The 14,510-nt window shown below is 37.2% G+C and overlaps 1 long non-coding RNA gene across 6 annotated transcripts in view, besides 2 other annotated features; it reads right to left on the bottom strand.

The window, feature by feature from the left end:
* LOC105374914 (uncharacterized) overlaps positions 1-14,510 on the bottom strand; it is a 91,755-nt gene that overhangs the window by 55,271 nt on the left and 21,974 nt on the right. For 5 of the 6 annotated variants that reach the window (XR_001743953.1, XR_001743952.1, XR_001743951.1 and 2 more), the window contains one exon: positions 4,098-4,227. This is a non-coding gene — a long non-coding RNA (uncharacterized LOC105374914). Of the gene's footprint in view, positions 1-73; positions 555-4,097; positions 4,228-14,510 lie in introns of those variants that run through there. The other variant, XR_001743955.1, reaches the window with a different exon arrangement.
* Positions 12,922-13,216: an enhancer, noted in NCBI's record as "tiled region #5599; HepG2 Activating non-DNase unmatched - State 12:CtcfO, and K562 Activating DNase matched - State 12:CtcfO". NCBI's record gives its function as "activates a minimal TATA promoter and a strong SV40 promoter by Sharpr-MPRA in HepG2 and K562 cells {active_cell/tissue: HepG2 | K562}" and the evidence as "EXISTENCE:reporter gene assay evidence [ECO:0000049][PMID:27701403]".
* Positions 12,967-13,016: a silencer, noted in NCBI's record as "silent region_16897". NCBI's record gives its function as "represses an Ori minimal core promoter by ATAC-STARR-seq in GM12878 lymphoblastoid cells {active_cell/tissue: GM12878}" and the evidence as "EXISTENCE:reporter gene assay evidence [ECO:0000049][PMID:35858748]".

Here is a 14,510-nt window from a genome sequence, read left to right as displayed (position 1 = left end):
AGGAGAATTGCTTGAACCAGGGAGTCAAAGGTTGCACTGAGCCAAGATGGTGTCCCTGCACTCCAGCATGAAGACAGAGAGAGACTCCATCTCAAAAAAAAAAGATACCTGTACATGTATGTTCACTACAGCACTATTCACAAGAAAAGAGTCACAGAACCAACCTAAATAGCCATCAATGGTTAACTGGATAAAAGAAATGTGGTGTATATATACACTGAGGAATACTACACAGCCATAAAAAAGAATGTAATCATGTCCTTTGCAGCAACATGGGTAGAGCTGGAAGCCATGATCCTAAGTGAACTGATTCAAAAACAGAAAGTGAAATACTGCATGTTCTCGCTTATAAGTGGGAACTTGAAGCAATGGATACACATGGACATAAAAATGAAAATAATAGACACTGGGGACTCCAAAAGGGAGGAGGGCAAGGTTTGAAAATTACCTATTGGGAACAATATTCACAATTTAGGAAATGCGTATACCATAAGCCCATATCTCACCAGTACACAATACATCCATGAAACGAACATTCACATGACACTCTGAATCTAAAATAAAATAAAATTTAAACAATTAATTATTTTCCTACTACAAATGATGCCATTTCCTTCCCTTATCATTTGTATATAGTTAATTCCTGAGGAAAATATTTTGTTCTCCATTTTGCTGAATCTTATAGGAAACACAAGGTGTGTATCCTCTAGAAGAATCTCTTCTTCCATTCTCTTGTGCCAATTAACTAACATCAGGAAACTTTTTAGAGGATGAAAAAGGTTGCTTTAAAGTCCCATAACCAAAATTATATCTTACTTATATTTTTCCTCCTTGCTGTAATATCACCAAATCTTATTATATTATAACAATTTTATGTATTTACATCACTCAGTTTTTCTTTATACAATCTCTTCCTGAGCTGTAATGAGGTGAATTATCAACTGTGAGTTGTCAGCATGTGTGTGTCTGTGTGTGTGTATCTGTATGTGTGTGTCTGTGTGTCTGTATGTCTGTGTGTGTGTCTATATGACTGTGTGTGCATGTCTGTGTGTTTGTGTGTGTGTGTGTGTGTGTGTGTGTGTGTATGTGCATGTGAGTTCAATCAAAATACTTGACTGGGTGGTGAGATGGGAGTGAGAGTGATATTGAATTAAAGGAAGTTTAGATTTTTATTTTAAGTAAACAAAATGTAGTATTTAGAATTATTTGTATTACACATAGCCTTCGTGAATTCTCAATACTAACAAGAAATTCATAAAACAGAAAAAATAGAACAATTATATTTATTGCCAAAAAAGCAAATAGCCATACAATTCTTTGCCATATCGGTATCCCCTAATGTCTACAAAATATGATTTGATTTGTAAAGCTCTTGTTTCAGATTGTGTCGGCCACAGGTATTCCCCTAGGAAAGTCGGACCCGAGGTTTGGTTAAGCAGCTTGCCTGGGAAAACTGTGTCACAGAAAATCCTTAAAGCAACCTTTAAGGATTGTTTAATAGGTTTAATAATTTTTAACAAACAGAAATTAAATCATGTTCATAGTGCCTTTCCACTGATTGGCATTTCAGTATTCAGTCTACACTGCCTCAACTGTACAATAATCCTCTGTGAGATTATTATGCTTCCCATTTTCTGGATAAGGATTTGGGGACTTCCCTCTCTAGAAGGGTGGAGACTTAGACCTGATCATCTGCCTCCTAGCCTAGTGCACTTGCCATTCTATCATAGTTGCCTCCAGAGCCATTAAGCACTTAAGAATTTAAAAAAAGTTCCAGAAATAATATCAGAGGTAGTTCAGGAAATGGCTATAACTCTCTCTATAAAATATTAAAATTGGTTATTTGCTATCACTCTTGTACTCAAGGACAAAATTTATTCCACTTTTGAATTCAAGCCAATAATTGTTGGCATTTATGAGGAGACTTTCTCCCATATAGATAATATGTTTTGAACTTACACTCTTTTTTGATTCATTTTTTTGTGCACTACTATTGATCCGGCTTGATTGACATGGCCTTACAGGTTCAGAATATTTTAACTCAAAAGAAACATGTTTACAAGGCAATAAACTCGGCAGGTAGATAGATTAAAAAAAGACTTTGATTTCCAAAAAGATACAAAAGCATCCTTCAAAAACTGAAACAAAGAAAACATTACAAGTTTTGATATGTGACACCAGTTGCTATTTCAGGACAATTCACCAATCGCTAATTAATGGGCAGATTAGATTTTCTTCCAATTTGCAACCACGTGCAAATTATTTCTGGGGAATTACATGTAATTTTAGCATAAACTTTTTCAGATTACATAATAAGTAGAAAGTAGACCGGTGATTCTCACCCAGGGCAATTTTGCCCCCCAGACGATATTTGGCAAGGTCTGGAGAAATTTTCGGTAGTTACCTCTGGGTGGGGAAAGTTACTGGTGAATTGTAAGATGGAGGTCAGAGATGCTGCTAAACATCCTACAATTTGCAAAACAGGCTTACATAATAAAGACTTTTCTGGCCCAAAATGTCAATAGGGCCAAGGCTGAGAAATCTTGCATTAGATAAAGCATTTGGAATGTTAGACAAATGGAAAGGAAAGAGCAGTAAGAAAACATTCGGCAACTGTGTGACAGCAAAGACTCAATCGTGCGTGAAAGTGAAAACAGCTGGTGTCAAAAATGAAAAGGCCAAGGGTACAAGTGAACACTTCTGTCACCACCACCTAAGGCTACTTTCTCAGGTAGCCCATGTCATGAAAGTTTGCTTTTCCAGACACAGCCACGAAACCACATCACCTACTCTTTCTCCAAGATGAACACTGCCCATTTAATTCCCTTCTATTACCTACTAGCTAATATACTTTAGCTCAAAATGCTCTCTGCCATTAAAGCCCTAAATTTTGGAATTTTCTTCCCCCCTCAATGATATCTGAAAATGTGAGTTGCATTTGAGACCTTCCTTCTCTGACAGAACGTCCCTGATGTTCTTTTTCTGATAGAACGTTCCTGATTTTCTTCCTTCCCTGATACTTCACCCAGCGAGTCACCTTCATTTTTCTCTGAACTCACCTAAGCTCAGGAGGAAACACATTTGCACTCCTGTCCTTTGTGATAGAGACTCTGTGAATCATTCACCAACTATCCCTGTTTCTTGCATTCATGTATTCAAAAGGCAGCAGGACATTATTAAATTTGCCACATCACACTATTTTCAAGATACCTACTTTTCTACCTTACTGCAAGTGTCACCTATAGTCTGTCACTCACAGATGGTTTTCCCAACACATTTTTTTTTCTTTTTTCTCTTTTTTTTTTTTTGAGATGGAGTTTTGCTCTTGTCACCCATGCTGGAGTACAGTGGCACAATATTGGCTCACTGCAACTTCCACCTCCCGGGTTCAAGCGATTCTCCTGCCTTAGCCTCCCGAGTAGGTGGGATTACAGATGCCTGCCACCATGCCCGGCTCATTTTTGTGTATTTTTAGTAGAAATGGGGTTTCACCATGTTGGCCAGGCTGGTCTCGAACTCCTGACCTCAGGTGATCCATCTACCTCTGCCTCCCAAAGTGCTGGGATTACAGGCATGAGCCACTGCGCCCAGCCCAACACACTTTTCCCTTATGTTTCCCACTGTTACACAAGCAAGCCAGATAGTTTTTGTTTTCTTTGAACTATATGCCTTGACCCAAAAACACTTGATGACTTGTTTTAACAGCTTCCAAAGCCATAAAATAGGTTCTGAGGATCCAGAGGTTACCTAAAAGAGCTCAAGTGTATAATTCTTCAGGGAGTTTGTAATTTATTTGGTTTCAAGCTTAAAAAACACAGCTATTTGTCATATTTCATATTTCTGGCTCAATAGACCAAATTGATGTAGTTTGTGTCTGCTCCCCACTGTAAAAAGGAGGTAAAAAGTCTAGTTGGTTACTTCTGCACGATTGTATTATCTCAAAATAATACTGAGTTTGCTTCATCAGATCTGTGTTCATTAACATCAGTAGAATTATTTGCCAGTCACCAATCTTTTTTCACAAATGACAAATTCTGGAAAGGAAGAGTTAAACATTTTGACAATTGTGTCCAAACAAAATAAAAGCTGAAAGTTACCTCGAACAGCAGCTCTCTATTCAGATGAAAGAAAGAATCCATTCTCCTGATCTCATCTCACATGGCATTTTCTTTTAAATGCTGTTTCATCTTAGTTGAAAAGCAAAGATAGGAAGCTTCACAAAGACACCTACGGGGAAAAAAAAAAAAAGACCCCCTTTCTTGATCATAAGCTTTCACTTGGTGACAAGAAGAAATCCTGTCTGCTGACGTTGACAAAGCAGTCTTGGACTCTATACAGCCTCTTTATTATGAGATCTGATCAAAGTCCTCTATATAAAAGTAAGCGCAACAGCCAAATTTTTTGTTTTACCTTAAAGACCTTCAGCTTGATCTCAAAGTCTAAAAGCTGCTCTTCTAGGAGCTTTGGAAATTGAATGTTTTTATTAGCTAACAGAATAAAACAGTGCAAATTCTGTTTATTAGATATCCCCAAAATACTCATTGCTGACATGGTACCCTAGGGAACCACCCATTTGGGGGCACAAATGACATAGCACAGCCCTTGCTCACTCAGCACACAGACTGAATTGAGAGTAAAGTGAGTTTGGGAAAAACTTTCATAAACATGTTTGTTATTTACATAGCATGTATAAAATGATTTACATGACTTAAAACTTCTTGGACATTTGTTTATAACATTCACTTGACAATTAACCATTTCCTTTCTTAGAACATCTTGGCAACTGTTGTTTTAGGCCTTTAGTTAAATTTCCTGTTCCTTGTTTTTTTTTTTTTTTAAGTTTCAAATTTTTATGACTTAACTATAGAAGTAAATTGTAACATCAATGTATGCATTCCTTTCTTTTTCTTATTTCCTGGAAAGGTTTATTTATTTATTTAATGAATTTATTGTGTATAATTAAGGTATACAACATGATATTATGGGATATATAGAGATACTAAAAAGGTTACTAAGGTGAAACAAATGAAGATATCCATCATCTCACAGTCAACCATTTTGATTGTTTTTGTGGCAACAGCAGCTAAAATCTACTCACTTAGCATGACTCTCCTATGCCATACAATTTCATTACCTACAGTCCTGAAGTTGTACATTAAGTCTCTGGCTTTGTTCATCCTACATATCCGCTACTTTGTATCCTCTGACCTACATCTCCCCATTTCTTCCCCACCACCCCTCCTTAGCCCCTGGTAACACTGTTTTGTTCTCTATCTCTGTATATTTGAAATTTAGTTTTTATATTCCACATCTATTAATAAATGATATAAAGCAATATTTGTCTTTCCTTGTCTGGCTTATTTCACTCAGCATAGCCCTATGGTAGCTCTCTTTTAATTTCCTTAGAAACCTCCATACTGAATTATTTATTAGTTCTAAAGGTGGTGTCTGTGGAATCTTTGGGCTTTTTTACATATGGGATCATGTATCTTCGAATAGAGATCATTTTACTTCTCCCTATCAGATTTCAGTGCCTTTGGTTTCTTTTCCTTATCTGATTGCCCTGGCAAGCACTTCCAGTACAATGTTGAATGGAAGTGGCAAAAGCAGGCATCCTTGCTTTGTAGCAGATCTTAGTGGAAATGTTTTCAGTTTTTCCCCACTGGTGATACTGTCAGCTGTGGGGTTTTCATAAATGGCTTTATTATGCTGAGGAACTTTCCTTTTATACCTAACCTCTTAAGAGTCTTTATCAAGCAAATACATTGAACTTTGTCAAATGCATTTTCCACATCAATTGAGATAATCATGAGGTTTTTATCTTGCATTGTGTTAATGTCATGTACTACATTGATTAATTTGCATACATTAGACTGGACTTGAATGTCAGGGATAAATCTCACTTGTTCATGATGTATAATCTTTTTGATGTGTTGTTCTTTTTTTGCATTTCTTACCTATTATTCCATCAATTGGAATGAAAGCTCTATGAGGAAGGGGGTTGTGTTTTGTTCACTCTACCAGGATGCCTAGAAGAATACCTGACAGGTGGTAGATGCATACTCTTCAATACATATTTGTTGAATGACTTTCAAATCCTCTCACTGTGCCTCAACCTGGATTTAACCCATGAACATGTCCGGGTGATTAATAAGTCATTGTTGACTCAACATGTTAACTTGTTTACAAATGTAGGATTGTAGATCATTGTTATTTATTGAGCATTAATATGTACAGCCGTGTTCTCACTTAAGCCTTAGAACAAACCTGCAGGATACAGTTTATTACCCAAATTTTACAGATGAGGAAACTGACAGAGAACATAGTAGGTAAGTTGCCCCAGTTATGGTGCAGAGCCTAGATTCAAACGTGGGTCAGTCTGATTCCAAAGCTCAGGACAACCTGAGTTAGAAGGCCATAAGTCTCAGGTATTAAACAGACTACACTGGTGGCTACTGCTATCTCTTTATACAAGTTGATATGGTTTGGATTTGTGGCCCCATCCAAATCTCATGTTGAATTGTAACCACCAGTGTTGGAGAAGAGGCCTGGTAGGGGGTGACTGGATCATGGGGGCAGATGTCCCCACTGCTGTTCTCATGATAGCTAGTTCTCACAAGAAGTGGTTGTTTAAAAGTCTACAGCCCTCCTCCTTCACTCTCTTCTTCCTTCTCTGGCTATGTAAATGTGCTTGCTTCCTTTTTACCTTCCGCCATGATTGAAAGTTTTCTGAGGCCTTCCCAGCCATGCCTATACAGCCAGCAGAAGTGTGAGCCAATTAAACCTCTTTTCTTTATAAATTATCCAGTCTCAGCTGTTCTTTATAGCAACACGAGAATGGACTAATAGACAAGGTAAAATTCATTAAAATATTTAATACTCAGTTACAGTGCTTTGTATTGTCAAAATGTTCTCAATATCAAACAAAACTACTCAGATTCCTATGATGTAAGTATTCTGATTTTCATTTGATGGACAATGGAACTAAAACAGGAAAAGAGCAAACACATTCATTAAAGGCAATAGAGCTAGAATTTCAAATTATTTTGAAATTGCTATGCCCTAATTTTATTCTCACATGATTGAGACATGTCTCAAAACACATAAGAATTATTACAACTCACATTGTTACTAGTTTGTTGTCACTAATTTGTAGTAAAGTCAGTGATTCCATGCTGGAGTTCAATGAAATACTAACAATAACAAAAACAGTAACCATTGTCTTATTCAAATGTTTGCAATATAACAAATAACATTCTATATTTTTGTAAATATAATTTTATTTAATCTTTATGTGAACCATAGGAGATAGATTTTTTCATATCATAAATAAAGATCTGACTTGAAAAAGTCAGTCACAGGACAGATGCAGTGACTCGCGCCTGTATTCCCAGCACTTTGGGAGGCTGAGGCAGGTGAATCACTTGAGGCCAAGAGTTCAAGACCATCCTGGCCAACATGGAAAAACCTTGTCTCCACCAAAAATACAAAAAAAAAAAAAAAATTAGCTGGATGTGGTGGCGCATGCCTGTGGTCCCAGCCACTTGGGAGGCTGAAGTAGGAAGGTCCCTTGAACCCGGGAGGCAGAGATTGCAGTAAGCCATGATCACGCCACTGAACTCCAGGCTGGGTGACAGAGTAAGACCTTGTCTCAAAAGAAAAAAAAAAAAGAAGAAAAGAAAAGGAAAGAAAAAAGAAAAGTTAGTCATAGAACCAGTTTTTGGTTCAGACAGAATTCAAACTTAGTGTATTTGTCAGGGGTCTCCAGAGAAACAGAATCAATAGAAATATATATATGAAATTCACATACATATGAAATTTAGTTTAAGTCTGAAGGTACAAGAACCAGGAGTGCTGATGATTTACAGCAGGCGAAGATGAATGTACCAGGGAGAGAAATTTTCCCTACCTCTGCCTTTTTGTTCTATTTAGGCACTCAATGGATTGGATGGTGCACGTGCATTGATGAGAGCAAGCTTCTTTACTCAGGCTATTTTTTAAAATGCTACTCTCATCTGGAAACATCCTCACAGACACACTCAGAAATGTTTTACCAGCTACCTGGCCATATTTTAGCTTAGATTGACACATAAAATTATCCATCACACTCACATTGACCTGAATCTAATGTGGATGTGCTGACCTACCATGCTATGCCTCCTCCCTGTGGAGAAATCACTTTGCAGTACAAATCATAAGCCATGAGACAGTTTCTCAAATGTAAAAGGAAGCAAGCATAGACCAGCGAGTTATTGTTAAACACAGTAGTTATTAAACAATATGATAGCATAAAATCCTATATGAAATAATACTGGTTGACCGATCTACTCAGGAACATAAAAGGATATATAAAAGTGCAATTCAGACCATATGCATGGAAAGATTTTAGAGAAAAGAGAAGCCACTGTGACCTGAATATTCAGATAAACATCACAGGCAAAGTGGCCTCTGGGTTCACTCAGACTCCGAAGGGCTAGTCATTGAGTCTCTACCATGTTCCAGGCTCGGTTCCAATCAGAGGTACAACAGTGGATAAATCAGTGTGGACACTTAAAGGAGGGGAGTCGGACATAGGTGGTGGAGAAGGGAGACAATTCCTTATGTGGGGAAAGGAGCAGAGTCATTGAGCTGAGCATGACATGCCATGTTCTGAGCTATGAGGAGGTGGGCTGATCTGCAGAGTTCACACTGGCAAGGAATGGGAGATCAGATTGGATGGTCAAGACATGGTTAGATTACAGCCTTGAAAATCAAGTGGAGGGCTCTGACAGGATTAGCGACCGATGGCTCTTAAAATGAGGTTTTTAGGAAGAATTTTCTAGTGACATTAAAAGGTAGCGACACCAGGAATGGAGCCCAGTTGGTTATGAAGTGTATCCTAATGTGAGATGATGATTTGGGGGCAGTGGGAACTGAAAGGAAGAGATAGATGCCGGAGACGTTAAGTAGGAAAAAATAAGATGTCAAGTTGTGTTTGCGACCAAAAGGGAAATCCACCTAGGTACCTGAAGTAATGAAGAATCCTGAGTGCCTCATTTGTTCCAGAAATGAGGGCAGGATTAGAAATGTTTCCAAGCCAACAGGCAGACCTGAATGCATGCTGGAGAAGAGCCACACGCCATGTGGGGGCTGAATGCTGGCCTTGGCCATGTCAGTAATAGAGTCTAACGAACTAAGACAAGAGTTGCAGGAAATAGACCATCAGTGTAGTGACCTTATTTCTAGGACTCAAAAGGGGATTTTACTTTCCTCTGATTCTTAATATGTTCACATGAACAATCATACAAAAGTAAGAAATTAAATCACTTTTCATTAAATGTTAGTTAATGATTTGTCTTATTATGACTATGTTTTATTATATTTAATTTATTTAATTTGTATGTATTTAATTTGTTCTAGAAATTACAAGACGTGGAAACTATAGGTTTGGAATTCTTACTAAGCTTTAGGCAAATGTCTTGGTATTTTCCCTGTTTTTGTGAAAATATCTTAAGTCATTCAAAAATATTGGCCCATATCACTTATTTATATGTAATCATATGATTTCAAAGAGGCAATTCAAAATACTGATGAAACTGCTTTATAAACAGTCAAGATTATTTATAGTTCTAGAAACAACTTTTTAATTATATTTTAAAAGTCAAGAGAGATAATTAATTAGGATGATGTGTATAGATTTGTTGCATATTCATATAAGATTGATTATAAAGTTTAAAACAAAATAGTGACTTTAAAAATGCAGAGGAGATACAAAATCAACTCAAAATAGATTACAGACTTGAATATACAATCTGAAATTGTAAAACTCCTGGAAGGAAACAGAGGAGAAAATCTTCAAATTGATCATGGCAATGATTTCTTGGATACGACCCTAAAAGTACAAGCAACAAAAGCAAAAATAGACAAATGGTACTCCATCGCACTAAAAATGCTTCTGTACAACAAAGGGAGCAATCAACAGAACAGAAGGGTAACCTACACAATCAGAGACAGAAAATTTTTGTAAACCATGTATTTCATAAGGGGTTACAAGTCAAAATATATAGAAACTATATATAGGGAACTAATATGTAGGGAACTGCTATAACTAAATAACAACAACAAAAAATAAGCAGATTAAGAAAATGAGTAAACGACCTAAACAGACATTTATCTATGTAAGACAGAAATAGCAGACAAGTCTATTAAAAGGTGCTCAACATCCCTAGTCATTAGGCAAGTAGGAGTCAAAACTACAATGAGCTATCACTTCACACCTGTTAGGATGGCCATCATAAAAAAAAAAAAAAGTGTTAGTGAGATTGTGGAGAAATTGGACGCTTGTATACTCTTGGTGGGCACATAAAATAGTGCAGCCACTATGGAAAACAGTATGGAAGTTCCTCAAAAGATTAAAAATATCACTACGGGCTGGGTGTGGTGGCTCATGCCTATAATCCCAGTACTTTGGAAAGCTGAGGCGGGCGGATCACCGGAGGTCAGGAGTTCGAGACCATCCTGACCAACATGGTGAAACCCTGTCTCTACTAAAAATACAAAATTACCTGGGCATGGCGGTGCATGCCTGTAATCCCAGTTACTCAGGAGGCTGAGGCAGGAGAATCACTTGAACTCGGGAGGCGGAGGTTGCAGTGAGCCGAGATCGCGCCATTGCACTCCAGCCTGGGCAACAAGAGCGAAACTTCATCTCAAAACAAAAACAAAACAAAACAAACAAAAAACAACAACAGTAACAACAACAACAACAACAACAAAACACTACCATATGATCCAGCAGTTCCATTCTGGTTAATTATTCTGGGTAATCATTCAAAATAATTAAAATTGGGATCTAAAAGAGATGTATCTTCACTCCCATGATCATTGGAGAATTATTCTTAATAGCAAAGATATAGAAATAATCTAAATGTCCATCAATGGATGAATGATCAAGAAAATGTATTGCATGAGTCCACTTACATGACATATGTAAAACAGTCAAACTCATGGAAACATAAAGTAGAATGATGGTTACCGGGAGGTAGGGGGAGAAGATGGGGAATGATTGTTCAATGGGTATACAATTTCAGATAAGCAAGAAAAAAAGGTTCTAGAGGTCCGAGGTACAACATTGTGCTTGCACCTAACAATGTTGTATGGTACACTTAAAAACTTGTTAAGAGGGTAGAACTCATGTTATTTCTTCTTAACACAATTTTTAAAAATGCATTGGAAAGGGTTTTACTTTAGACTGGCATTCTATATTTTCCTGAAGCTGTATGCAGAGCATCGAAGGAAATCATCTTAAACAAACAAACAAAAAGCAGCTACTGGTTAGACTATTGTCACCTGTGCATCGCTATGATTGTGTATTATTGAGTTATGTGACCAATGCTACACAGTGTGCAATGTTCTCACTACACTTGGCTGAATTCTATCAAGCTAAACACTCTTGACGGACAACATCTTGACTAGCCAAGATGCACTGACTGTTTATCAATAGTATTGATTGCACCACAAAGTTACACAATTATGTGACATAATACAAGGGGGGGGGGCGACACAAGCAACAGTTTAATAAGTGGTAGTGAATATCATTGTGTAAATTGAATACTAAACATTTGTTTGCCTAACAATTTAGGAAAGGCTTTAGAAACTGGATGTCAATATCAGATTCCTAACACTGTTTTATATAAAATCATTATGATAGACATCTTACCAATATGGAAACTGAAGGCCAGAATAATTCAGATGCCCAATGGAGACAGACTTAATAGCATGTCCAGTACTTGAGCATGAGTTTCATTGGTTATTAAGGCTAATTTATCCAATTATCCTTCATAAAAATAAGAGTTGTACAGGGCATTATCTTGTGAATAAATTATCAACATTTCGACTTCACACTTGAATCTAAAAAGAAAAATTGAATTTAGTGTCTAGTGAAGTCTTTACAGACAAGTCATATTATAAAAGAGCAGACATTTTATTAGAGATTGTCACTTGATCATTTTTTTAATTGGATATCTGAAATGTGTGCTGTGGGCCAGGCACAGTGGCTCATACCTGTAATCCCAGCACTTTGGGAGACCCAGGTGGAAGGATTGTTTGACCCTGCATAGTAAGATCCTGTCTCTAAAAAATAATAAATAATAAATAAATTAAAAAAGAAAATGTGTGTTGAAGCTCAAAATGATAATCATTTATTTACTTGGTAATGAGTCATGACCACAAATCAAATGTACTTTTCAAAAATCATCAGCTTCTTGAAACATATGGAGTAAAGGAAGTTGCCTAAAAATGAGGGATAGAAAATTATAGTGCATCCCTAAGGCAGTGGAAAATCTAAGGAGTAGGCTTGTTTAATCCACCCCTGGGTAAATCTCACTGATTCACTTAGATTATTGCCCTGTGTCGTTTTTGAAATATCTCAGAAATGTATTTAAGAATACTGAAACCATTCAATGGTCTGGATTTATAACAGAACTTTTCCATGTCTAAAATTGACAATTTCAATGGATTTTAAAGTTGAAGATAATCCTTTGCCTAAACCCACCTACTATATTTCTATTCATCCTGTACTGTTACATCCTTTATTCTCTTCATTATTTTTCATGTTCTTAGAGTTTACAGTATCATGTGGTTTATGTTTTTCTTACACAGTGATTTGCACAAATAGATAACATTTTAATTTCTAAAGAGAAATTATCACCATCTTATCAGCCTTAGCATTCACCATCAACTTATGCTAGCAAGAAATTCTGTACTCAGAAAAACTAAACCTACTGGGCAAAAGTTGAACAAATACTCTAAACTAGATAATGCAAACAGGCTGAGTTTTAACACCAGTCCACATCAATCCGAGGTAATTGTTTTAAATGCTGTAAATATTCATTTGATACCTTTACCATAGAATAAACAATTTCCTACCACTCTCATATACTTCTGAGCCTTCCAGAATACCATAAGGATTTATTTACTTCCTGTAAAACAACAGGGGTCCTTAATCCTGTCAACAGATTACTGGAGCTGAGTTCTCAATGCGTCCCGGTGGCGGCGTTGTTTGTGAAATGCTGCCATCTATGGGACAGAGGTGGGTATTGCTCAGGGCCCAGGCAGCGAAACCACAGCCGCCTCTCTGCTGCGCTACGTGGTTGGTTCAGTAAATGAAGCAATTTTTGGTCAATAAACAGGAATAAAAATCATAGCGTTGGCTAGAAAATAGACGTTGCAAACTCCAAGCTGGCACTGCTCTCTACCACAGCTATTCCTTGGGGGAAAAAAATGAGTGCTGTGGCAGTTGTTCCGCAGTAGCTTTGATCCAAATCTGTTTCTCTTTTTTTTCCTCCCACACCCACATTTACGCTTTTATCCAAAATGTTGCAATGTGGTTAGAACAATACAACCTTCCACGCATTGGCAAACAAATAGGTTAACTTGGTTAATTAAAGTTTTAAAACTCACCCATTCTGAATAATAGCATAAACCAAATTTGCGAAGGACTCCTGACCTTCCTGTGTGTCATAGACGCCTGTGAGACAATGCAATGTATTTCCATTCAAAACTTGGCAAAGAAACCCGGATTTGACGATTTCTCCCACTGATCAAAGTCCATACATCAACATCATAAAGCGCATTGTACTGTTCGAAAGAAGCTCGTCTATTTATTGAGAGTACTTTCAACAACAGTGTCATTTAATGCCCACCTCAGCCCTAGGAAACAAATCTTGCCACTGTCACTCCTTTTTCACAAAACGGTAAATTGAATGTTAGAGAAGTTGTCACTGCGCTTAAGTTTTACAGATCACTGAGCAATAGATCCAGGATTTGAACACAGTTTGTTTCATCCAAATCCAAGCAGTTATCTCCTCTCCTAGGCCTTCCTTGTGGTCAAGCACTGATGATTTAAATCTAGTTCTTCATTTTTTGTTTTCATTTTACATCTGTGTAGCCTTGGGCACATCATTTGAATTTCTTTAGTCTGAATTTTCTCGTTTTCACGACAAAAAGATTAGTGTATCTATTTCTATGTTCCTTTCCAACTCTCAATCATATAATTCATCTGTCTTGATGAGGACAAAAAAAGAAAAATGAAAGAGTCACAAATTGTCATTTGGATAAAACTTCGAAGGTTCCTTAATTCCACTCTCTCATTTTAAAGATAAAGGAGCTACGCTTGTGGAAAGAAAAAATCAAACGGTCAAGAAAAAAAATCAAATGGCTGAGAGGCACTGTTGCCAGGAGAGTTACTTTCAATGTACCGGTACCTCTAAGGGGTTTAATTTTAGTTTGATCCAGCCTCTCTAGCCAGCTGTGTGTGAGGAAAAAGAGAAGAAAGAGGAAGCCTTCAGTGCCTTCAACAGGAAAAACAGTAATGTGAGAGTGGTTACTCATCTGATAAACTAGGAAGGAACAAGGAAGGTCTAGACTAGTAGGGAGTTCTTAAAGATAAAGCTTGGAGCCCAGGTAGCTGGATCTCAAATGGGTTAATATTCATGCCAATGGGCTAACCAAGCTGGCATTCCTCCAAGCCG

The sequence above is a fragment of the Homo sapiens genome, chromosome 6, assembly GCF_000001405.40.
Source record: "Homo sapiens chromosome 6, GRCh38.p14 Primary Assembly".
Taxonomy (NCBI): Eukaryota; Metazoa; Chordata; class Mammalia; order Primates; family Hominidae; genus Homo; species Homo sapiens.
This window is presented reverse-complemented; position numbering and strand designations above follow the sequence as displayed.